General features: G+C 47.1%; 1 protein-coding gene across 4 annotated transcripts in view, besides 2 other annotated features; it reads left to right on the forward strand.

Moving 5' to 3' along the window:
• CDH4 (cadherin 4) overlaps nucleotides 1-25,793 on the forward strand; it is a 688,357-nt gene that overhangs the window by 234,551 nt on the left and 428,013 nt on the right. The window contains exon 1 of one of the 4 annotated variants that reach the window (NM_001252338.2): nucleotides 12,610-12,681. The exons of the other annotated variants lie outside the window; for them this stretch is intronic. Coding sequence (NP_001239267.1) covers nucleotides 12,624-12,681 — 58 coding nt within the window. The 5' untranslated portion in view covers nucleotides 12,610-12,623. Of the gene's footprint in view, nucleotides 1-12,609; nucleotides 12,682-25,793 lie in introns of those variants that run through there. 4 annotated transcript variants of the gene reach the window in all.
• Nucleotides 11,839-12,339: an enhancer, noted in NCBI's record as "H3K4me1 hESC enhancer chr20:60073706-60074206 (GRCh37/hg19 assembly coordinates)". NCBI's record gives its function as "activates a minimal SCP1, AML or CMV promoter by ChIP-STARR-seq in naive H9 embryonic stem cells {active_cell/tissue: H9 hESC(naive)}" and the evidence as "EXISTENCE:reporter gene assay evidence [ECO:0000049][PMID:30033119]".
• Nucleotides 13,965-15,164: an enhancer, noted in NCBI's record as "CDK7 strongly-dependent group 2 enhancer chr20:60075832-60077031 (GRCh37/hg19 assembly coordinates)". NCBI's record gives its function as "activates an origin of replication core promoter dependent on BRD2, BRD4, P300/CBP, MED14 and CDK7 cofactors, with strong dependence on CDK7, by STARR-seq in HCT116 cells {active_cell/tissue: HCT116}" and the evidence as "EXISTENCE:reporter gene assay evidence [ECO:0000049][PMID:35650434]".

The following is a 25,793-nucleotide window of genomic DNA, read 5'->3' on the forward strand; positions in this document are numbered from 1 at the left end:
CCAGGAGTTCAAGGTTCCAATGAACTATGATTGCATCACTGTACTCCATCCTGGGTGACAGAAAGAGCCTCTGTCTCTAAAAAATAATAAAATAATAATGAGATAAAAGTTCCAGTTCCCTGGATATGGTAGATGCTTGAAGGGAGGTACTGTTTTATTCTCGTGTGTACCCAGTGGTGCCTGGCAGAGGAAGGGCCCTGGAGTCACAGTCAAGGTCAGCTAGATTTTCTCCTATGTTATCTTCCAGGAGTTTTATAGGTTTGCATTTTACATTTAGGTCTGTGATCCATTGTGAGATAATTTTTGGGAAGGGTGTAAGGTCTAGGTCCAGTTTTATTTCTGTGTATGTGAATGTCCAGTTGTTTCAGCACCATTTGTGAAAAAGATAATGCTTTCTCCATTGAATTGCCTTTGTCTTTTGCCAAAGATCAGTTGACCGTAGTTATGTGAGTCTGTTCTGCGGGGGAAGGGGGCTTCGTGGGCTGGAAGAAGTGGGAGGCCTGAGAGTGAAGGATTCCTAAGGAAGTGAGGGGTGAGGAATGAAATTTGGGTCAGGATTATTGGCCTCGGCTCACCATGTGATTGTTAATGAATCATTCTCAGCACAACTTTTAATTTATTTATTGGTTCTCATAATGGAGCCTCCATTCATTCTAATAAGTACCATGAGCTTCAGCCTCTGAATACATGAGAGGAGAATTTTAGGGAAATGGCCACAGGGAGTTTGTGTCTCAACTTGCCCTTTAAACAACTGGAGTTGCAGTGATTTTCTGATTCTCTGCTATTTCCCCATTCCTCCCTGAACAAGCATCAGAAGGAAACTAAATGCAATCTGACAAGACAACCCTTCAGCAGGTTAATTTGTACTAGACCCTCAATTTTCCAGCTAGAAATCTAGCTTGAAACACTACTACTCAAACAACATCTATCAAAGCCCAACATCTGGGTCTCCCAGCTGCCAAGTTCACCCCGTGAGGACTTGTCAACACGCCAGTCTGCTTCGTAATTGAAGTACTATTCAAAGTGTCAAAGTCTTGTCCGTGGAAACAGTCTGCATATGCAGTTACAACTAAGTATGGGTTGGAAAAAATACAAACTGAGGTCAGCTCTTCCTAATAGGAGCATCTAAGCAATGTCTTAAGTCTTCAAGCCACGGTTGTCATGATATCTGTTTGTCACCCCCAGAGGCAAATGGAGGCAGTTCAATCGATGATTCTGTGGGAGGAGAAGGGCAGAATAACTTAGGCAAAGACAATCACTCAGTGCCATTTATTTGTCTTGTATGACGCCAATGATCATGGCCAGTCTTGACCTAGTGTTAGCAGCAGTGATCTAACATCGCCGAGGAAGGAATCTACTATTGCTGCATTTCCCACAGCTATTATTCTGCCCTCCAAAAGGCAAAGCACAGAGTAGGTATTGTTCTGACCTCCAAAGAGCAAAGCACAGGGCAGGGTGAGGTGACTGTGACCAGCGGCCACAACAGAGCTTCCTGCCTTTTTAACGGAACAGAACCGTTTTTAATTTTTTTAAAAGATCATTCCACAATAATTCATTTGTTCAGCGCCTCTGTAAACAAATGCTTGGAGTTCACACGGGTCCCCTGTGGAATGATCCTTCTAAGTAGCTTTGGCTCAAAGGCATCCCACGGTGGTGATTGCTTTAGGATTGTTTCCACTGGAGTGAATTATACTTGAGGTAGAATTTGTACTGGGCTGATTTGTCTTAAATTGCAGGATAAGTTCTAAAGTACAAGAAGTATGTACTCTATAAAAAATGTCGTGGGGCCTGACTGGTATCAAGAGGACTGAACATGGAGAGACAAAAGAGAGAGAGAGAAAAAAAATGGGGCTCTGCAGCTGCCAATATTTGATGCCCTTGTTATCAAGCCATAAGGCTGAAAATGCTTTTGATAATGTTTTTAGAACTAAGCATGCTCCTGTCGGCTGTTCTCTGTGTTCCTTGAGTAGTCTCTAAAAGATTGGAAGAATTTGTGGGTGCACCTAAAACAGTCACCATGGACCTTGCCATTCACAGTATGTCCTCAGATCAGCCCCATCAGTGTGGCCTGGAAGCTTTTTATTATGTTTAAAGATGCAAAGTCAGGAAGTCAGTATGTCTAGCCATCTTAAATCACTTTTTTTTTAAATTCATCCATCAGTTTGGAAAAATAATATATTCCATTACTTTACACTTCAATGCGTTACTGTGCAATGCACTCATTGATGACTCTGAAACACAAACAGGACTTCCCAGACCTCTGCTTGGAAGCTCCTGGGTATTAAGTCTGGGCAACCCCATCTCCTCCCAGCCTCACTAACACGAGTCGCCTCTTCTCAGGAGAACTGAGAAGAGAGCTTTGCATGTGACAGCTCCACCCTTTCCAAGGGGGTCTTCAATTGCTTGACAGCCATTATTCTGTTAAGCTCCTGTGCCTCTCCTGTTTGAGCAGATAGAACCAGGTTCAGACCCAGGCACAGCCCAGTGACTATTATTGAACAAATGTATTGGGTTGGTGCAAAAGTAATTGTGGTTTTTGCCATTACTTGGGTCAGCATTGTCAAATCTACACCTACTCTATGGCCCAGTAGTTTCTTTCCTGGATTTTATCCAAAAGAAATTAAAGAGATGCAAGAGAATGTTCAAACCTGCTTTTAATGGCCAAACCAAAATGACTTTTGCACCCACCTAATAGTCGTGATAAAGTGGCATTAAACTGGAAATCTAACTTGACTTGTCACTCCTCCTTCCCCAGGGGGCTGAGCCCCGATGCTAATGACCACAGTCGAGGATGAGTTGAACCCTCAGCCAGGGTTGATTCAGCCGATTGGCCAGTCCTGACGTTAATAACTTGCACAGACGCTTTGCACGCATTAAGCAATTTCATCTTCTCAGCAGTCCTAGGAAGATGTTGCTGCCACGATCCTCAATTCATAGGTTAAGATACTGATGCACAGCCATTAACTGACTTGCTTTTTGAACTCAGTTTGAGAGCCTCAGAGTCCACATCCTAAACCACTGTGCTGGCCTACCAGGGGCCTCCAAAAGTACTTCTACATCAGCATTATTTGGGGATGCTTCTGAAACATACAGCTCCTGGGCCCCTCTAAGGGAGAGTCTAAGTCAGCAGGTCATGGGCCCAAGGAGTTGTATTTTTTTTTAAATTTTTCAGATCATTGTGATGATGGGCCAAGTTTGGGGACTGCTGTTTTAGCTCACAAATTCCTGGTTGATGACCATCACATTGGTTCTTGGTTTTTGTTTCAAAAAAGAAAATCAAATGGACATCTAATCTGTGGCCCAACAATTTTTTTCCTATATTTTATCCAAAAGAAATGAAAGACATTCAAGAGAATGGTCAAAGCAGCTTTATTCACAATAGGTCAAAAACTGGAAACAGCCCAGGTGACCCACAACATACTGGGGTTCATCCATGTGGTGGAATTCTACCCACTGATGAGAAGGAGCAGCCTGCTAGGGTGTGCAGCCACATGGCTGAGCCTTGAAAACACACGAAGCGGAAGGGGCCTGGCTCAGCAGTGCAAGTCCACTTATAGGCACCTCTGGAAGAAGCCAAACTAATTGGTGGTTTAAAAATTGTCATGGTGGCCGGGCGCAGTGGCTCATGCCTGTAATGCCAGCACTTTGGGAGGCCGAGGCAGGTGGATCATGAGGTCAGGGGTTCGAGACCAGCCTGGCCAACGTGGTGAAACCCTGTCTCTACTAAAAATACAAAAATTAGCTGGGCATAGTGGTGGGTGCCTGTAATCCCAGCTACTCGGGAGGCTGAGGCAGGAGAATCATTTGAACCCGGGAGGCAGAGGTTGCAGTGAGCTGAGATCACGCCATTGCACTCCAGCCTGGGCAACAGGGTGAGACTCCATCTCAAAAAAAAAAAGTTACAGTGTTTGCCTCTGGCAGTGGTGGGAGTCGGAGTGACGGGGGGCACTCCTGGACTGAGCAGGCCCTGCTCACAGCACACGGCTGTCTAATTGTCATGTGATGAATCCAACTGCAAGGCTCTTAAAATACCTCCCAAATCCTTAAAGAAACGTAAAGTTACATTCAGGATAATCAAAGTGCTGATAAGGATGGTTGAGTGTACTTTAGTCATCTGATACAATTTGTGTAAGATTTATGTGGTCACACTCAGGGTGTGCTTGACTGATTGGAATTTCTCGCCCACACTGGATACCAAATGTAGGCTGCCTGAAATCCTTGGGAACAAAGTGCCTTATTCAAGAATAACAGAATTTTATCATTGACTCCATTGCAATACAACATTTGGCATATGGTATAGCCAACACCATGTTATATTATAGCAGGGTTTTGTTTTCTTTCTTATGTTGGGTTTTCTAATTAGAAGTGTGCGCATAGTGTGGATAAGCCCAAAGATAGCACACTGGTTTTCAGGAGAGTTTTCTCTGTGTTAAGTTGGGCCAAGGCAGCTTAGATTCAACATGCCCAGTTCCACACAGGTTACTTGGTTGGGCTGTAATCTTGGTTCTTAAGTTCATCACCTCCAGCCAAGGTGGACAGTACAGAGCTCTAGCCCCGAGCATTTGCAGGACAGGTGTTCTGAGCAGGCTGTGTATGACTCGTGATGCTGGTAACTTCACAACTAAGGGCTAGTGAAAAGGAAAAGATGGAACAAAGGAAGACAGCACAAAAGGGTGCCTACAACTGTGCACCATGGAGAGTTTACATAATGGAAAGAATATTAAAGATACAAACTGTGATTTAAAGATACGCAAAAATTGTGATGCAGTCTTGAAGAAAGTGAAATTTTAAGACAAGTCTGCCATTGTCTCTCTGTTGTTTTGGCCCCATGTACATATATTTCCTCTGTTTTCGTTGGTGGTATTGATGCTAGTTGTGTTGATGTTGATGCTGGTGGTATTGATGTTCTTGCTGCTGATGTCAGTAGTGTTGATGTTGCTGATGTTGGTGCCATTGCTCTTGATGTTGATGCTGATGTAATGGTGTTGATGTTGGTGGTGCCATTGTTGGTGGCGGTGGTGCTGATGCTGGTAGTGTTGATGTTGGTGGTATTGATGTTGATGGTATTGATGTTGGTGTTGTCAATATTATTGATGCTGGTGGTACTGATGTTGCTGATACTGTTAGTGGTGCTGATGTTGGTGGTGCTGATGTAAGTGGTGTCAGTATTGTTGATGTTGGTGGTGTTGATGTTGGTGGTGTCAATATTGTCGATGGTGGTGTTGATGTTGGTGGTATTGATGTTGCTGATGGTGGTGTCAATATTGTTGATGGTGTTGATGGTGGTGGTGTTGATGTTGGTGGTGTCGATATTGTTAATGTTGGTGGTGTCGATATTGCTGATGTTGTTGGTGTCGATATTGTTGATATTGGTGGTGTTGATATTGTTGATATTGGTGGTGTTGATATTGTTGATATTGGTGGTGTTGATGTTGCTGATGCTGATGGTGGTGTCAGTATTGTTGATGTTGGTGGTGTTGATGTTGGTGTTGATGTAGGTGGTGTTGATATTGTTGATGTTTGTGATGTTGATGTTGATGGTGGTGGTGTTGATGTAAGTGGTGTCAATATTGTTGATGTTAGTGGTGTTGATGGTGGTGGTATTGATGTTGCTGATGCTGATGTTGGTGGTGTCAATATTGTTGATGTTGGTGATGTTGATGTTCTTGATGCTGATGTTGGTGGTGTCATTGTTGATGTTGATGGCGGTACTGATGTTCCTGATGCTGATGATAGTGATGTTGGTGTTGGCTGGCCTCTCTGCAAGTTTGTTTTCCTGATGAAGACTCAGATAGATGGTGGCATGCTTTGTGTCAGGCGTGATTTGGACTGGCAATGCCGTGGTGAAAATATCAGATGAGATGTCTGCTTTCATGGAGCTCACAGTCTGGGGTGGGGGCCAGGCATATAATGAACAAGTCCATGTACAATGACAATATCAGGAAGCAAGAAGTGCCATGTACAGAATCAAAATATTAAATATTGAAAGATAGTATAGAACATTTGGGGAAGGGCTACTTTAAATAGTATTGTCAGAGAAGACCACTTTGGGGAGTCCACAGTTAAGCCAAAACCTGGATGGCAAGTTGAAGCAGCCATGAAAGATGAGGGATGAGCCAAGTTGGCAGTGGAGGTGGATGGAGAATCATTTTCAGCTTTGAGCTGTCGTGCCTGTCAGCCTGGGATGGTCAACCAGGGCTTGGGATTTGCCCATGGTAGAGAAGTAGGTGGAGCCCAGTAGGTTTGAATGAAGTACGTAAATTAGACTCTAATAAAGTCACTCAAACCCATTTAATTTTAGCTCAGGAATTTTCCTGGAAATTGACCAAAGTGGACTTTTCTATCTCTTGACTGTTTTCCAGGAGACGCAGAATACAGGCCTGTGTCAGTGCTGTAGCCCACACTCGCTGTGGGCCTTTCCGGAGTTCCATTGTCTGTGAAGTATGCTATGCCCTGCTTAGCCTAGAGATTTGTTTCCATCATATGTGAAGCGTGCTATGCCCTGCTTGGCCTAGAGATCTGTTTGGCTTCTCCTGGACAATGCCCACAAGTAACCTTTTAGTTCTCTGAGTTTTTTGCTTCTTACAGAGCAGTCTTCCCCTCTGCAGGTCATCACCTCTGTTGCCCCATAAAAATAAGTTGTTAGGAAACAAGCTGGAAAGTGGGTGCTGATGCGCTGCCTTAGGCAATGCCTCTACGGCTACAACCCGTGTGCCATTCCGGCTCTTCTCCTTCACAATGGCTGGTGGCTGCCAGTGAGATAAAATGGCAGCCTGTCGCTTTGTGCCTCCCTGCAGGAGACAGGTTCCCAGGGGGATATCCGCTGCACACAGGGTAGATTCCCACTCCATCTTGGGGCTAGTGGTCTTGTCTGGTTTAGTCTTCCTTCCTCTCCCCTCCTCTCATGCCTCCCTAGCCAGTCTTCTTGGATGGTAATGCAGGTCAGAGTCATGATAAACTTTCACTCCCAACCCTCTAGGGTGACCCCCTCCAGAAAGAGAGCAGACCCAGTGTGGATTCCGCTACAGGTGGCCCCCACCCCAGTCCTGGGAGAACAGTGGCCCGTACAAATTGCCATGGAGGCAGGTGGATGCCCCTCAGAGCCTGGCCCATGGTCCTCAGTGTCCCCCACAAACCTCCCCCTGAAGCAAGACCTGAACACTCTGGAGCGGACTCTCCAGGTCTGTGTTGTTGTGACAGCTCAGCAGCCACACTGCCAGACAAAGAGCAGGCTGGGGAGAAAATGGCCGTCTGACTGCTGCTCATCACACACAACTCCAGGAGCAGGTGGAGACAGGAGCGCTCAGTGGGGCCGAGCCGGGCTGGGTGTGAGCCCCTGCAAGTTCTGGAGGCTGGGTCCCAGGTTCTGACTTAAAATCACGGCTGCTGTTCATCCTCAAACTCGAGAGAAGTTTGGTGTCAAATGTTGCCTTCATCCTCCTTTCTCTAAACTCAATAAGGAGACCCCCACCTCTGCTCGTGCATACTGTGCAAATCGCTGAAATCTATCAACTTGAATAGACTTAGAAAATCATATGCTGCTATGAAAGAAACCCATAAATGAATCTTTATATTTGAAGTTTTTTCATTTAACAAATGCATTGTTATCCATTATCCTTTCAGTACTTAACAAACAACTCATAATGAAATACAGAAGGGCTCAATTGGAAGGCTTTTCTTTTTCTCTCCAAAATAGCTATTTCCTTGCAGGTAGTAATTTTGTTTCAAGAAGAGCGATGTTTAGCACCAGGCTTTTTAATAAAATATGTGTGAGAGAATAATTCTTCTAAAACATTCTGTATCTACAAAAATCTATATGTGAGAGAACTTGAATTATTCTCTAATAGATTTTATTACATAGCAGTTAAGAATTTCTCTAAGAGACATCTAGTCAAAGGCATCAATTTTGGATAACAAAGCATTGGAGAGAAAGGGACTTATTGAAAACTGGCGTTATTTGCTATTTTGTGAATTCTTTATCTGTTTCTCTAGCTATCATTTTCTCCTGGAAGGTGGAGCATCTGAGGCTGTGATTGAGTGTGGTAGCGCCTCGTGCATGCCTATTGTGATCAGCTGCAAATGACTGAGCTGACATTCATTCGCCCAACCTGCACTCTTTGGCGTGGGCCCTCCGCCAGATGCCATGCCCTGCACTGGGGAAACTGAGGCTGGAAGAGGACTATCCACAGGGAGCCACCTTGCATGGTGGGAGTAACAGGGGCTGAGTTCAAGGTTCAGGGGCCCATGGCAGGGGCAGGAGAACAAGGGCAGGGCCCCCAAACAGCTGTTTTAATAAATTAACATGATCCTGTAGGAGCCGATGCTATTTGTTGAGGTATGAGGACCAGAAGGCGGCGGTGGCCTCGTCCGTTTCATTCAGGACTTAATGTTGAGTCTGTGATGTGTCAGGCATGGTTCTGGACCTAGACCTTCAACCAGGAGAAACATGTCCCAGGCCCTGGAGCTCAGGCACCTGAGGGGGAGCCGAACACGACGTTCCCCTCGTTAACTACAGCACAGCCTACGAACCCCCAGGAGGAGCTGTGGGAGGGAGTCCAGCCACATGGAGCCTGGAACCCCTCCCCCCGCCGCCAGCCCCCCGCTTATCCTGAGAGGTCGCCCAAGGCTTCCTTGGTGGTAGCAGCTGTGCTGCAGGGCAGCCCGGGACTGCCCAGCAGGGGAGGAGGCAGGAAACAGATGAGGCTCTGAGGTGGGAATGGCCACTTAAGAAACTGAGACTGCAGCCTGGGCGACAGAGCAAGACCTTGTCTCAGAAAAAGAAAGAAAGAAGGTAAGAGAGTCCTGGGCAGGCCGGGCACTGTGGCTCATGCCTATAATCCCAGCACTTTGGGAGGCTGAGGCAGGTGGATCGCCTAAGGTCAGGAGTTCAAGACCACCCTGGCCAACATGGTGAAACCCCATCTCTACTAAAAATATAAAAATTAGCTGGGCATGGTTGCAAGCACTTGTAATCCCAGCTACTCGGGAGGCTGAGACAGGAGAATCATTTGAACTCAGGTGGTGGAGGTTGTGGTGAGCTGAGATAGTGCCACTGCACTCCAGCCTGGGCAACAGAGTGAGACTCCATCTCAAAAAAAAAAAAAAAAAAAAAGAGTCTAGTGCAGCAAGCCAGGGACACACAGCAGGAGAGAGGAAGGGAAGGTCCAGGTGCCGTGCCATGCAAGGGAAAGCTCCTCGAACATTTTTTTCTCTAGGTATTTCATTATGAAAATTTTCATACTTACAGAAAATCTGAGGGAATTGAACAACGGACATCTATATACCCACTGTCTAGATTTTATAATTGGCCAGCCACAGTGGCTCACTCTTGTAATCCCAGCACTTTGGGAGGCTGAGGCAGAAGGATCACTTAAGGCCAGGAGTTTGAGACCAGTCTGGGCAACACAGTGAGACCCTGTCTGTACAAAAAAAAATTAAAAATTAGCTGGGCATGGTGGTGTGTGCCTGTATTCCCAGGTATTCAGGATGCTGAGGCAGGAGGATCACTTGAACCAGGAGGAAGTTGAGGCTGCAGTGAGCCGATCACGCCACTGCACTCCAGCCTGGGCAACAGAGCAATACCCTGTCTCAAAAAAAAAAAAAATCTAAAATTCACATGTTCCTGTGTTTCCTTCATCCCATATCTATCCTCTGCCCATCCCTGTATCCATTTTACTTTTCAATGCGTTTCAAGATAAAAGTGCAGACGTCAGTATACTTCACACCTAAACACTTCTGTGTGTATCTCAGTAGTGTTCAATATTCATTTACATTAATGAAGCAACATTTCCTAGAGAAAAAGCCATCCATTTTAGGCACGCATTCCCTCAGCTTTGACAAATGCTTACATTTGGGTGACCAAGACTCCAATCAAGATGCAGAACATCATTCTAGAAAGTTCTCATATCCTTGTTCAGTCAGCCCCTCCTCTGGCCCTAGAGCAGCCACTGCTGTGATTTCTTCACTATGGTTTTGCCTGTGCTGTGTTCTTTGGATGTGCTGTAGGCTTGGTTTGATGTTGGCTCTGCTTCTTCCAATGAAAATACTGCATGCAGCTTGGGCTATGATGGGTGAAGCTGCTGAGAACATTCTTGTGCAAATCTTGTTGTGGGCAGGTGTTTTTTTTTGTTTGTTTTGGGGATTGATTTTTTTTTTTTTTTTTTGCTTTTTGTTTTTTCCTGGTGAAACATCTTGCCTTAAGTCTCTCTTATCCAATGTTAATATCAGCCGTGAATAAGCCTCTTACGTTCACCATTGGCATGGTATTTTTCATATTTTGACTCTCCACCTGTCTGTGTACTCACAGTGTGTGTCTTGTGAACAGCATGTCTTTGAACCTTGATTTTTTTCCCCATCCTTTCTGACAACCCTTGCCTTGTAACAGGATTCCTGATACTTTCTGGTATGTTACTGGTGGGGGTGGAGTCGGGTCTAACACTTGTATTTGTGTTTTTGTTTGCTCTGCTCTGTTTGTGATGTCTCTTTTCCTGCTTCTCTCCTTTCTTGTGTTAATTAATTTGTTTTAGAATTCTATGTTAATTTAGCTATAGGATTTTTAGCTCTACCTCTCTGCACTATGTTTCAGGGGTTGCTCTAGGGATTACAATATACATCACAGGCTACTGAAAGATTTGGGGTTTTTTGTTGTTGTTAAAAAAAGAAAAACGAAAAAATGCAAATCAAAACCACAATGAGATACCATCTCACACCAGTTAGAATGGCGATCATTAAAAAGTCAGGAAACAGCAGGTGCTGGAGAGGATGTGGAGAAATAGGAACACTTTTACACTGTTGGTGGGACTGTAAACTAGTTCAACCATTGTGGAAGACAGTGTGGCGATTCCTCAAGGATCTAGAACTAGAAATACCATTTGACCCAGCCATCCTATTACTGGGTATATACCCAAAGGACTGTAAATCATGCTGCTATAAAGACACATGCACACGTAGGTTTATTGCAGCACTATTCACAATAGCAAGGACTTGGAACCATCCCAAATGTCCATCAGTGATAGACTGGACTAAGAAAATATGGCACATATATACCATGGAATACTATTCAGCCATAAAAAAGGATGCGTTCATGTCCTTTGTAGGGACATGGATGAAGCTGGAAACCATCATTCTCAGCAAACTATTGCAAGGACAAAAAACCAAACACCGCATGTTCTCACTCATAGGTGGGAATTAAACAATGAGAACACATGGACACAGGAAGGGGAACATCACACACAGGGGCCTGTCATGGGGTGGGGGGAGGGGGGAGGGATAGCATTAGGAGATATACCTAATGTAAATGACGAGTTAATGGGTGCAGCACACCAACATGGCACATGTATACATATGTAACTAACCTGCACGTTGTGCTCATGTACCCTAGAACTTAAAGTATAATAATAAAAAAAAAAGGCCACAGCTTGTGAAGACCAGATCGGATGGGCAAATAAACACACAAGACTAGTGAGGTGTTCCCACCGGTTGGCCGGTTGATTTTCCAGTTAATTGAAAAAGGAGTTTCAGAATGTTCTAGCTCAGATGACCACAGTGTACACTGAAACTCTTCCTGCCATGGAACTGTATTGATAGTGTAATCGATAATGCTATACACACTCAGATCAGAGACAAACAGCTCCGACTTCCGGTGACACCTTTGAGAATTGTCTACTCACTGCTGAATTTTTAAAAATCCACTCTTAATATAAAAATAACATGGAATTTGAAGAGGAACCTCCAGGATCACATAGTGACCCTCCTTTCCTGTTACAATCTGCAGGTGAACCTCACAGGGCCACAGGAGGACCTCCCAAAAAACACACGTAGTTTAACCAGGATCTCCAGAATCTCTGTCCAGGGTGGTCTAATCTTTTGTCTTCCCTGGGCCACATTGGAAGAGGAATTGTCTTGGGTCACACATAAAATACACTAAAGATAGCTGATAAGCTAAAAGAAAATCGCAAAAAAAAATCTCATAACGTTTTAAGAAAGGTTACAAATTTGTGTTGGGTCACATTCGAAGCCGTCCTGGGCCGCAAGTGCTCTGAGGACCTCAGGTGGGATGAGTTTGCCCTAGCCCTTTACTCCAGCTGTCTTCTGTAAAGGACGAGGGAACCTAGCATTCAGCCCCAGCTTCTCTCCTCGGAATGAGTCTCCTTCCAGTAGAGGATAGAACCCCACGTGTCCTGAGCCTTGAGTAGGAGATGGGGGCGTATTGTGACTTGCCGGGAGCATGGCCTCCAGGCTGCATGGCGGGGGCAGGTTTCCATGCTTACGGTGGTCCTCACTGCTCATGGAAAGGAGCTTCGGACACCCAGGTCCCTCCTGAGCCTCCCTGCACTGTGGCTGTGGAGGTCAGGCTGCCTGTGGTTGTGTTTTCGTAGCTCCTGGAGCCCTGGTTGCGGAAGCCAGTAGGCACCTTTGCCCACTCATCCTCAGCGTCAGGCAGTCAGGAGCATCTGGGTTGGGGGCACAGCCCCGGACCTTCATGCTGCTCACTCTGGCCAGGTACTTTCATCCCCTATGCCTCAGTTTCGCCACCTAGAAGGATAGCAGTGCCTCTTGCTCTGCCCTGTTAAAGGTTATGCGGGACTGGGGTGCAGGTGTGCCTGGTTCAGAACAAGGATTCGATGAACGGCAGCTGTGACTTCATTCTCAGCGCCTCCTTTCTACCCTGCTTTAAAGAAGGCAAGTGTGAGTGTGCTAGGGGGGCTTAGGGTTGTTTGTGGGCCACTTCTTTATCTAACTGGGCCCTGATGCTTCAGACAGTGTCCCTGAGGTCACACAGGGAGGAGGGCTCCAAGCCAGAATTTAGACCTCAGCCTGCAGACACAGGACAGATCCCAGCCCACAAACGCAGGCCAGTGCCACCTGCCATCCCATGAGGGCAGGAACACGGGGGTGTCAACCTTGAGCTCCTCACCTCTGTGCTGAGCAGACACCAGGAACAGGGCTTATGAGCAAGGCTTTGGGGACGATGAGGAGACCCTGAATTCATCTGCACCTTGAGCCGGATACCTCTGAGTGCTCCTGCACTCCCCCAGCCTGTACCATGGAACCTTGTTTTCTCCCCTCCAGATGTGGGCATCGATTCTGTCTGTGGCAGGGGTGGTTGGAAGGGTCAGTGGCACCATTATGCAAAGCACCCAGGAGGCACGGGCGCAGCTTACATGTCCCTGAGTCATGCGCTAGGCCATGAGAACTATTATTATTAGTTTTATGACTCTTGTTGCTATGACAACAGCGCTGGGTGTGAGGGCTGTCACTTCCCTGTCGGAATCACTGTGGCATCCTCAGCCAGGAGGAGGAGGCCCAGCCGAATGGAGCAGGGCGTCCCCTGGCCTCGGGATGGTCCCGTGTGTCAGTAACATGTTCATACTACTGTTGTGTTTGTCAAATAATGGAAGTATCATCATAAGCTGCACTGGGAAATGGAAATTAAATTTTTCAGAGGATGCACGGTGCTGATAAAGGATGGGCACCAAGGCAGCCACGTGCACAATGATCACCAATTATAAAGCCATTGCTCACTCGCGTTCGGAATTGCAGCGTGAATTAAGATGCTTGTTTGGGAACAGAGTCCCCAGTAGTTGCTCATTACAATTCCACATCACGGGCGTGGAGAGGGAGAGAAACAAAATGCAGTGTCTTTCCACCTGGGTGGCTGCCTGTGCCGACTCTGGGTCCTGTCTCAGGCCCTGCAGCTCACTGCAAAGAGACTTGAGTAACCAGGTATATTTGTTGTGCTGGGAAAACACAGAAGGAAGGGAATGTCTGCATTCTGCAATGTGTGCTCTTTCCTCTCAAGACACAGAGAGGAAAAGACCTCTGAGAGGCACAGACACCTGCGTATCATAAGAAGGTAGGGCTGTGTGACTGATGGGAAGAGGAACTGTCTCTGCAGCATTAGGCAGAGGCATTTTCTGTGCATGTTAATATTTAGTCTTTATAAATCCTGTTTCCTTCATATCGTTGGCGTGTCAAGTACTTGACGTATAGCCTCACAGCCCATCCAGAATGAGCCTTGAGGTTGAACTGGCACTGGGACATCCAGCCCCCAGTGCAGGCATGCCCTCAGGCCCACGCAGCCGCTCTTGATGTGGAGGCAGGAAATGGAAACTCTTCAAATTCCTGAGCACTCAGCTCTCTTTGCAGCATTGTGCTAAGCATATCTCTCCTTGACATCGTGTCATTCCTGTGTCCACAGCAGGCAGGCCCTTGGGAATGGCTCTGGTGAAATGGGGAGGAGAGAACTTTCTTCTCCGACAGACGGTTCATGATTTCCAAGGTCTTCTCTGGTTAAGACCAGAAACATGTTTCTGTAGAGCCCAAAACAGGCCACATCCGCTCCTGCTCTGAGCTACAATAGACTCAGGCTGGGGGAGGTGGCGCTGCCATCCGCCATCTCCAGTCTCCTTATCTGATGTTTAGAGCTTCATAGTTTAAATGGCAATCATTCCTTGAAGCCTGCAGCCTGCGATAATACAGCTAATACATTATTGCCTCTGGCTTCCGTGCAGAACAGCGGTTAGAGACGGGTGGAAAGAGAGAGCATTGGGGTGACTGAGACAAATGGAGTGTGGCCTGCTTGGGAAATGCTGAAAAGTGTTGGTGTTTACCTGGCTACGTACTTGGCCACGGAGAGTCCAGGTGGGAAGAATTTATTAGGTGAGCGATGTAGCTGGAACGAGGCCTGGCTGAGATTCAGGAGACGGCTGCTGCCGTCTCTGCCCCCTCATCCTTGCTGAATCTCAGAACCTTTGGGCCTGCATCTCTGCGGCCCGGAGACGCTGACTCCAGTTGCCTAACAGAGCTGTGGTGAGACTCAAAGGCCACACAGAAGCAGCGTGTTCCGGAAAGCATGCCGTGCCCTGTGAACTAGAAGAGGGTACTGGAATACTAGCTATCTTCACAAGCACCACCCCGCCACTGCCTCCACCATTCGTTAGGGAGCCACTCATTATGGGACGGACCACCAGACGCGACTAATGAAACTTTTCTGTTCTCTCCTTTCTAGGTAAGTGATTCCGGTGCTAACGCTGGACACGTGTGTCCTTGTATATACCTGTTGCGCCTGCGAGAACATGTTCTCCACTCCCCCAGCTCCTCTGAGGAATGCCTGAGTGAGGACCCCGTGTAAAGTAAGATGAACCGAGTGGGCACGTTAGCCCAGGCCGTTACCCTTTAGTGGGCGCGTGAGGGCTGTGGGTCACAGTTTCCAAGACTGATGGCATTGCATGATCTTTCATGGTCAAACTTGTGCAAATGAAGAAGTGGAGTGGGGGACAGGGGTGGGATGAGATAGCTAAGCAGTGAGCCAGAAAAAAAGCAGTTGACGTGGACGATCTAACCTGAGAAACCATCATAGGAAATGATGACTCTCTGCTCCAATGCAGCATCTACAAGGCCCAAATGAGATAGAACACAGAGTTTCAATGTGAACTTCAAAACCTGCTCCTGCTGTAAGGTGCTTTTCCCATCTTAGCAGCCTGGTGGTCTACTTTGTCGTTTTTCCTGAGTGTAGCTTGGAAGCTTCCATCTCTAAATCTTTAACATTTTCTGGGAATTTGCTTTCTGTTTCCCAGGGTTGTCCTGGGACTGGCCTCTGATGAGGCAAAGGTTGTTCTCTTGGTGTAGCCACTGGTTCAAGAAGTGTTTTGGGTTAAAATGTTAAAAATACATAGCTAGAGATTATTTTTCCAGCTCATTGAAAGAGGAGTTACAGATGCAACATTGTCTGTGGTTGTGTGGTTAAGAAGTGTTCCCTTTGCTCCTGAGTCATATGTGGAAAATCTTCCCTCTAACCCTGATACTGCACAATTTGTCAGTGTTGGTGAGACTCATATTTAGCTGTGAGCTTCCTGGCGTCCAAAGGATAGAGGAAAATAAGAGCACTCAAAACAGTCGCCAACATCACGAAGGAGAAACTGCCGTTATTTTCTTTTTTGTTACTGGCAGAAATTACTCTTACCAGAACTAGCTTATTGCATAAGAATTACTCTGTACTGGGGCTCCTGAATTGGAGACATCAAATAATGTATTAAACCACATTCTTAACATTTCTGGAGAAGACACAGTGGAGGGTTCCTTGTGGTTGTTGGGGCAATTTATTTACTAAAACAGTGGGATCACACTGAAGTGTCGCTCACCGTGAGCATTTCTGCACGCCAAAGATGATTATGCCTAAATGAATATTCTTTTATTGGCTTGATGGAATCCCAGGGAGAACCTAGAATACCTAAAAAAAATAGACGCGTTGTAAATACTGTGCTGGGTACTCCTCCCAGCAAGACCTTGATGAGGACTGGGCAGGAGGCCCCTTGCCTGGGGTTGGGCTGCAAATGTCCTGGGGTGTTTGTGGATGGAACAACTGGCTCTAAGAAACGGGATATACGTGATCAGGGCGAGGTCTTTGGGGAGAGAAGAAGCTCAACGTGGGCCCACAGGAAATGTGTCCGTTCATAGTTGCAGGTGGAGCAACAGGTGAGTCAGGCAAGCATCCATTAGATCTTCAATCAGCTGCTCCACATTGCAAATATGAAGGATATGCTTTCAAAAAAGGACAAGGGAAAATAGGAAAAGGGGTCGTAAAAGTAAAGATAATCAGCCAGCATTACTGAAAGTGAAGAGAAAATTTCTTTTGAAAAAGCAACCCAGATGTTTGTCCGGCATGAGTGTGGTATTTGGGATCATGAATGCTGAAGAGTAAGTGTGTCCTGGATGTTGGCGTCGGGTCATCACTGACCCTAAATCTCCTCAAGTCTCACAGAAGGATGTAGGTCATATGTTAGAGGTAATATGTCATAAGGACATAGGTCATACTTTAACCTTGAATTCAGGGAATAACATTTGGCTTTAGGGTAATTGACTCCAACATAGAATGAGCCACATTCTCTATGCATTGGGATAATTCTTATTTATCATTAACTAAATTATTAATAACTAATGATATAAATTACATAATTACTGTTTATTAAACAATTTGTATTGAATGTTATTAACATGTCAAGCCTGTGGGTACAGTGGACACAATTTTCTTGTGAATTTCATCTGAGGATTGGCATCTGTTCCCACAGCGTGAAGGTGTTTTTGCTGTCTGAACTCTGCGTCTTTGGCTCACCCAAACAGGGAGAAGAACATGAGCCAGGTCGGCCAAGGAGGCCTTTGCTTATGGTCTGGTTTTCTATAGGGGCCAGAGATACGCCCCCATCCCACTCGCCATCCCTAGACCACAGCAGCCTTCCCCATGTCCTGTTGTTGGACCGAGGCACGCCTGTCTTGGGAACAAGGACCTCACTATTTGCAACTTTCTTGGAGGGCCTTCAGGATCTCAGAGCTCTGTGCCTCAGATCCCGCAGGTAGTACTGAAGACTGGAGCCTGTTCCAACGGGGCTGGCTCCGTGGCCGGCCACACACTGGGGCGCGAGCCTCTGCTGCCCTCTGTGTTGCCCATGTCTTCCTATGGCTGAGGCTGGCTTAGCCTGAAATTCAGGAGGTTCCTCTCTCAAGGAAGCCTATTAGATACTCAGATGTTCGGATTGTGGTTTTTTTCTCACTGTCTCCAGAGACACATCTACAGCTAAAATGATGCTTGGGATGGCTCCTTAAACATGACCTTAGATAGAGGTGGGGTGTTTGTGGTGACATCCTGGGCCTTCTCTTCCTTTAACTCAGGGGATCTCAACGGGGGGCAGGGGGTGGCTTTTGAAGCCCATAGAGGTTGTGACTGCCCAAGATCCCACCGTAGGCAATGGATCCGTTTCATCCTGACCGCATTCCTCCAGGCGCAGACACGTGTGGTGGCTGCTTTTCAGCAGAGCGGAGGATCCAGGCCCCAGCCCCTCGTTAAACATCCAGCCCCACCTGCATGTCAGGCACAATCTGGACGTTGCAGTGACAGCGTCTTTGCCACATGCAAATCTGACTAATGGCCTAAATTGGTACCAGAAGAACAATTACATGGACTCTTTCCTGATGGCTGTGCGTGGTGGCACTACCCTTGATCTCGGCACAGAGTTGGTCAGAAAGCACACGCTCCGCTTCCATACCCGTACACGCGTCCTCATCACCTTCACCGTTTCCTCTCCAAGGGCTTGATTTAGAAGAAGTGTCTGGTTTAATGGGGAAAATAAAAGATGAAACAGCAAAGTCAGGCCACTCAAAGCGCTGCAAATGTTGGGGAGGGGGCTTCTCTTTCGTTACACAGCTCAGTGTTCATTGTTTGCTCTTTAACATTTTGCTTAAGATGTAGGGCTGGAGGCTGTTTTCCTGGTGGAGATTATTTTAAAATCCGCATCTGCTTTCACTCATGTCTGGGAAGGGAGGTGGGTGACGCAAGCGAGGCTCATTGGGTGGATTTGGTTCATTGTGGGGTGTTTCACCGTTTACAGCAAAGTGATGGCTAAAAAGAGTTAAATGAAGACGAGAGCAGGAGAGAGCAGCACCGTCATCAGCCTGGCATTCTGCTACCAGCCTGTCTAGAGGGTGGAAAGGAACCCTGAACCCTCTGAATGCAGATTCAGTATGCTTCAGAGCGTTTCTAGGAGTTAGGCGTAGCTTCAGGACGGCCCGCTTTGGAATCCAATCAATGGGAGCATAGTGTTAAGTTCAGGAATGAAAGGTTCTGAGGGCGACTCTCTTTTGTCTTTGCAGCCTGTGATCTTAAGGAGACAAATTAGCACTGCAGATGGAGGAGGCGGCACTGGGCTTTGGGACTATGCAGGGGGCCCCAGTGTCAGTGTGGACCAGGGAAAAAGTACCCTTCCTAACGCTGGTGCCCCACTCAGCACTTGCTTAGGAAGGTCTGTGCCAGGGCCAAGGGACATGGTCATGGCCGTTTTTATTCTTTCCTGTAGAATCCATGATTGACCCTGTGCTTGGCATCCTGCCTGGCAAGCCACAGTCGCTCACTGCAAGTTGGCGGGAAAAAAGAATTGGCACATGAGAGTCTTCACTCCCAGGACGCTAATGTTCTCGTGTGTTTTTAGGGAAATTCAGTCCTCACGCTGCTTATGTTAAGATGAATGGGTTTATTGGTTGCCCCACAGTATATGAAGGTCCACGCAGTGTTTCCATTCTTCCCAATTAATAAAAGTGGAAAATCTCTATTGATGTGTTGAGAAAGGAACTCAGACATGCAGGAATCTGCCAGGTCCATTCGAAGTCTGGTGATGGTACGAAAACATGGTGGCTGAATTAGACAAATGCAGTTCACACTGGATGGGATTTGAGAGTCATTTGCTCCCCATAAGAATTCTGAATGTGGAGAACAAAACCAAAGTGACTTTATTATTTGCGTTAAATATTTACATAGAGGGGAGTAAACAGTGTGTGAGACACACTATGACAGAAATGAATCTTTCTCAAAATGACAAGTTAGGAAACGTATGCATTCGGTGGAGAGTAAAGACGCTCATGCATCTTCTTTGCATATGCGGTGCATGCAAAAAACAAAACTCTAGACAATTCTCTGTCCTCATTAAAATCCAGTTACAGTAATAGCTCAGCCTTAAACTCGAAACATTACGAATGCAATATAAATGTTTAAACAGTTTGGTTGCATAATTCTTCAGTTCACATTTCCTACCATTGGTGACCTGGTTCTCAATTGTAGCTGGCTTTCTGGGATCTATTTGGTAAAAGAAATTTGAAGAATACGCTACTGAATACATTACATCGTATCCACATTATTATTATTTTCTTTCTCCCTTAAGGATTAAGCTTCCATTTTGGCAGCTTTGCCTGTTGGGCAGAATTGTATCAGAGAATTAATTGTATCAAAGAATTAATTCAGTGGATATTTACATGGTACCTACTAGGTGCAGATCATGTTGCTGTATTTACTTATAGAGATGAGTCGGCCTGCAGGAGCTGGGGGAGGAAAAGGCTGAGCCAACTCTAGCGTAGGGTCGACCTGCACGTTATGAGAGCAACTCAAGAGAGGCTTTTTGGGGGTCTCGAGGGACCTGCTCTGTCTAACTCACTCTGGATGGGAACTGCTGGGAGAAAGGAGAGGCTGCAGGGTGGTGCTGGGTAGGGTTTAAACATTTGCGAAAGGAACCATGGACACTGTGGGTCGGGAGATTTTTGGAATACTCAGATTTGAGCAAGGAAACAGCAAGGTCCACCTATTCAGACATGAGGCTGTGGATGCCCCAGGCTGCTGGAAGAATTAAAATTACTCGAATCAGTGGCTCGTAACCATGGTGGCTTTCCAACAGTGCAGCTTCAGTGAAATATGCCCCGTTTTGAGACTTTTGAGTGTTTTGTTTTCCTAAATGAGTTTGCAACATGTGTGAGATTGTTTAGCAGAATGTAGTTTCTTGAGTCAGATGCAACAACTAAAAATAAATACAAATACACATATACACAACAGACATCTATAAATATATACATCTTCCCCAAAGGTAGTTTTTCTAAAAGCTAGAATAGCTTTTGGTACCACATCTAATTAGGAGATGGTAGAACAAGGCGCAGCCATCTTGATTATAATAACCGTCTTCAGATAACGTGGTGTTAAATTAGCTCACTCAACAGCTACTTTGTAAGTAGATTTGATTTATTTTTAGCTCTTATTGGAAGCCAGGAATCCAAATGGAGATGGAGGGTTTTCCGGGAGCACGGGAGATCGCTGGCCAGCAGCACGTGACCGGGCTGCTCTTCTGAGAAGTTTGCTGTACTTTGCAGGAGGAAATTTTAAGTAAAACCCACAGTACAGGTGGAGTTCACTGTGTCTCAGGCACCAGGTTTCACTTTAAGAAAAACAGACGATTTTTCTAGGAAAAAAAAGGGTACCTCCTACAAAATACCTGACCCGTACTCCTCAAACCATCAAGGTCACCAAAAATGAGGAAAATCTGAGCAACCGTCACAGCCAAGAGGTGTTTAAGGACACATGATGACTCCATGTCATGTGGGATCCTGGGACGGGAAAGAGGCATTGGGGAAAAACTGAGGCCATCTGAATGAACTCTGGACTTCATTAATAACAACATATTGGCACTTATTCTAACAAGTGTTCCATACTAAGGTAAGATGTAAACAGCAGAGGAAACAGGGCAGGATCGCTCTGTGTTATCTTTGCAACTTTTCTGTAAATCTAAAACTATTCTAAAATAAAAGGCTCGCTTTAAAATGTATAAACAAGATAATTTAAAACGCCCATGACCCCACCGCCGGGAAGACGTCGCTGTCAGGATGGGGTTGTATCCTGCTGTCTCTGTGCGCACTGTCGTGCAGAGTGAGACCATGCTGGGCATTCAAGTTTGCTGCGTGCATTTTCCCTTCATGTTGTACAAACATAAGCATGCTTCCCGTGTCCCTAAAAATGTGTTTGGTCAATCAGTCAGTGTGTAAATAAATGCCACTTCAGAGACATTGCCGCCTCCTAAGAGTGGAAGTAAATATGCAAATGATTCTATGTAGCAAAACACAGAAGGTCCCAGGCAGTATGTGTGCCCCCCACTGAGTTGGGTCTTAATGCTCACAGTGGGGGACAGGAGCCTGGAGAGGTCCCCACCGGGTGAGAAGCCAGTCCTCAGTGACCGGGGCCACTTCTCGTGTCTGTGCACACTTTCAGCCACACGGGTGCCCCCAGCCCCAACCCATTGGCTGGCTGAAGACTGTTGCGGTCGGCCCTGAGCTCACTAATGAGAAGCTGGTGACTGTGGCTGGGTCACTTGGGTTGGGAAGGCCCCCTCCTGAGCAGAGCAGGTGGACAGTGGCGGAGCCCACTGTGATGGGTGACAGACCAGGCTGTGGCAGGGTTTGTAATAGAGAACCAAGACAGGGGCATGTGTTCAGGAGGACCTGGTGGCAGGAGGGGGCATCCAAGTGGCTTCTAAGCAGCAGTGCTGAAGGCAGGGCTGGCCTCAGGACAGGCAGTGAAGCCCAGGCGCTGCCCCACCTGGAATGCCTGGCTCAGCCTGGGTGGCCACCGGGATTTGAGCAGTTTCTTCAGCTGCTCTTGAGCAGCACAGAAAGCTCTACTGGCAGATAGGGCTGGACAAAAATGATGCTAACTTCCCGCTTGGAGCCCAGAGGGCAAGGAGGGCTTGGGCTGGGTTGGCAAGTGGCTTAGGAATCAGGAAGCTGGGTTCCACCCCCTCCCCACTCTGCCTCCACAGCACCAGCTGCTGTGTTAACATCCTCAGGGCAGGAGCAGCTTCTCTCCCAGGCCTCGCCCAGTGGTACATGCTCGCAGCATGGACCTGGACCTGCCTGGGTTCTAAGCCGGTCTTTGGAGGAGGTGTGGGGTTCACTGTGCCTGGTTGGAGCAGCAAACCCTACACCCCTGCAGATGGTAGGGTGGACCCAGGCACAAAGGCCGTGGCATCCTGCAGCAGGAGAGCCAGCTGCCTGTCTGTGGTGGGTCCTCTGAGACGGCAGAGGACTTGGGGCATGAATGAAATCACCTTGTCAGGGTCTAAGCAGAATCCCCAGCTCTCAGAGCCCCACCGTCAGCCAGCGCCTAAACTATGCCTCCTGCCCTCAGAGGGACCCGCCCACGGAGGGACTCATCCTGCCCCAGGGAATATTAACACGGGAGAAGTGAGATCTGGACAAGGGCAACCATGATTTGGTGACTCCAGGAGGTGGGTGACTGTGAGCTGTGAGACAGGCATCAGTGCCACTTGCTTTGTCGAGGGTATCAAGCCAGGCTTCCTGGAGGAGGAGGAGGAGGCATTCGAGATGGGCCCTAAGGGAAGCCGAGCATGTGAATGTTGAGCGGGAGGAGGGTTCTTCCCAGCCACCTAGCAGCATGGCAAGAGGAGGGTACCAGGGTGGGGGACAGGACCGTCATGCCAAGGCCAGAGGTGCATGCACAGCCGGCCCACACTCCAGGGCTGAAGGCTAAGCCAGGCAGGCGGGAGAAGTCAGGGACAGGAGTGGCAGAGTCCACGGAAGGGGAACAACAGGCTGAATTTGCAAGATTTGGCTGAGGCTGCACCAGTCAGCAGACAGGGTCTGGGTGTCCAATATGACAGTCCAGAGGTCACTTGCCCCACCGAAGTCTCAGGAAAACAGTGGATTTCCACTGGCAGATGCTGGTGGCTGCAAGCTCTCTATGCAGCTGGCATCTCAGGATGTAATGGAGCAGAGCCTCATATTTTAGGGGTAAAAAAGGGAAAGAGAGAAAAGGGGTGGGGGGATTTTTCCATATGGCGAAGGTTCTCATTAAAATCAATTGTAAAGTTAGCTAATGGCTGGTTCATGTCATTTGGAGATGGCTGTAAATATCAGCTGCATCTATATTCAGCATTTGAAATGTTCTATTGAAAGTCTATGTAACTCTGTGAGTGTTTTCCAGTGGAGTGTTATTCATTTAAAGTTGTTTGAAAATCTGATCAGAAAGAGCTTCAACCCGGAAATTTAGTGATTTGCAATATGCCAGCATCTATGCGCTCAGCACTCCCGCTCGTGGAGCTCAGGAAAGGACACCCATGAGAATGTTACTTGGTGTGTGCTTTGTGTTTTGGGGGGGCCAGGAACGTGCATTCAGGGGAGTTTCTATTTGCCCAGGAGGATTGTGATGTAAGGCACAAGGCCCGACTCTGGAGATGTCTGGTGCATGGGAGTTTGTGTGGAAGCTGGAGTTGGCCAGCCCCTGCCTTAGCCTCTGTCAAAGAGCTGGAAGGATACGTTTACTATCGGAATGCCCGCATGCCTGCTGGGCTGATGGCATCCCATAAAGAAGAGAGATTCGTTCCACATAAAATGCAACCACTGTCTACTGCCCCAGGAATGGCCCACGGGTGTCGGGGGTGATGACCGACCTCAGGACTAGGTAGCTCCCATTACTGCTTGGTGGCTGACGACCCATAGTGGGATTACTTGGGGGATTGCGTTGCTGGGGAATTACTTGCTTGGGGGATTATGAGGCGGGAAGGTGTGCCCTCCATTATATAGAGGAGGCAGGTTGAAAATTGTATTAGGCTGTTCTTGCATTGCTATAAAGAAATACCTGAGACTGGGTAATTTATAAAAGAAAGAGGTTTAATTGGCTCAAGGTTCTGCAGACTTTGCAGGATGCCTGGTGCCAGCATCTGCTTAGCTTCTAGGGTGGCCTCAGGAAGCTGACAATGGTGGGGGAAGGTGAGGGGGTGGGGACAGACATGTCACAAAATGAAAGCAGGAGTGAGAGAGAGAGAGAAAGTTGGGGGCGGCTGTCTCACACTTTTTAATAACCAGATTCCCTGTGAACTCAGAGCAAGAGCCTAATCATCACCAAGGGGGATGGCCCATGCCATTCATGACAGATCCAGACACCTCCCCACAGGCCCCACCTCCAACACTGGGGATTCCATTTAACATGAGATTTGCTGGGGGCAAATATCCAAACTACATCATGAGTGAATTAGGTAGAATATACCAGCAGGGCGGGACCGTGTTATCCATGGAGTAGCAGGCCTTGCCTTTTGGAATGTGTGCGCGTTAGAATCACCTGGGGAGTGTCAGCCCCACTTCACACCACCAGAAATCCACATTTAGGGGCCAGTGGCCTGGAAGTCGTCTTACGTTTTCTGCATCCCCTCCTGCCCCTCTAACTCCACGGCTTGTGCCAGGAAGACCCTGCTCTGCACCCACTGCCACACAAACTCTTGTGTGTTTCACCATAATGCAGAATTCATTTTAAAAAAGTCCTTCCCCTAAAGCAAACTGCTGAGGCTAAACAGTAGACTCAGAGATGCCCTCTCTGCAGCTACTAAGAAAAAGATCCTCAAAGAAGCTTCTCTCTGCTTTGACCAGCAGCGGGTACTTCCCAACACTCACTTAAGTCTACTTATAGCATTTTACAAATATGCTCGTGAATCATAAAATATGTGTATGCATTAAGCGACTTTGTGGCCGTTTTCTAGATGGAGAAAGAAAGACGAGAGAGAAGATGTTCATGTTTGGCGAGTGTCTGGCAGAGGTTTAAGAGAGCTTGGAGCCTCTTAATCAGAAACAGAGCTAATCACTTTGCCTAAGATTAAGTCGTCCTGGGTGCCTTCCCATATCTTGGTCCTCAGCATTGATTTCCTGCTCTGAGGGCACTGATACACTAAATTGTGAAACTCATTTTTTTCCATGGGTATACTGTAGAATAAATATCTGGAAAATTCTTACATTCCTGATAAGATCCCTATAGAGAAAGAATCCCCTCTATCTGCCCCTGAGAACTGTGAAGCTCGCCTGCTGGGATCCTGAGATTTCACAGTAGGCCGAGAACACCCTCCATCCGCATTGATTTATTCTTGTTTCCTCGCCTGCAAGGACTGTAATCAAGCCCGTGTGTTTACTGGGATGTGGTTGAGCTTGCTGGCTCTTAAGGATGCTGAGTAGTAAACTGGGGCGAGGCTCCTGTCCTGCAGCTGGGTTCCTGGGCTGCCCGGTGGTTTGGTCCATGGATCCTGAACGCTCTCTAATCAAGGCTGTGTGGGCAGTCGCCTCACCAGGTCATCATCTCTCAAGGGTTAACCACGGCAGTGATTGGAGTGTGTATGTGAGTGTGGCCCTCAAAGAAAAGACCTCGAGAGTTCTTATAGCCAGGCCCGGGAAGGGGATTGTCCCGCATGGAAAACAGTGAGACCCGATCATTTCAATCGACCATACCTCTTCCAGGTCGCCCATTTCCACTTCATAATAAGCTTCATCTGGTCCAAGGCCTAGAAGAAAGGGAGGTTAAATGGCTGAGTCTATTAAAACATCTGTCGCCAAAGCCCCACTCACATCATGACCTAGTTCTACAAGTGCCAGCTTATAAAAGACCAAAAGTAGGTCATGGGAGGGAGATGAATGGGGCGAGGGGAAACATCATT

Source organism: Homo sapiens, chromosome 20 (assembly GCF_000001405.40).
Source record: "Homo sapiens chromosome 20, GRCh38.p14 Primary Assembly".
In the NCBI taxonomy this organism is placed as follows: Eukaryota; Metazoa; Chordata; class Mammalia; order Primates; family Hominidae; genus Homo; species Homo sapiens.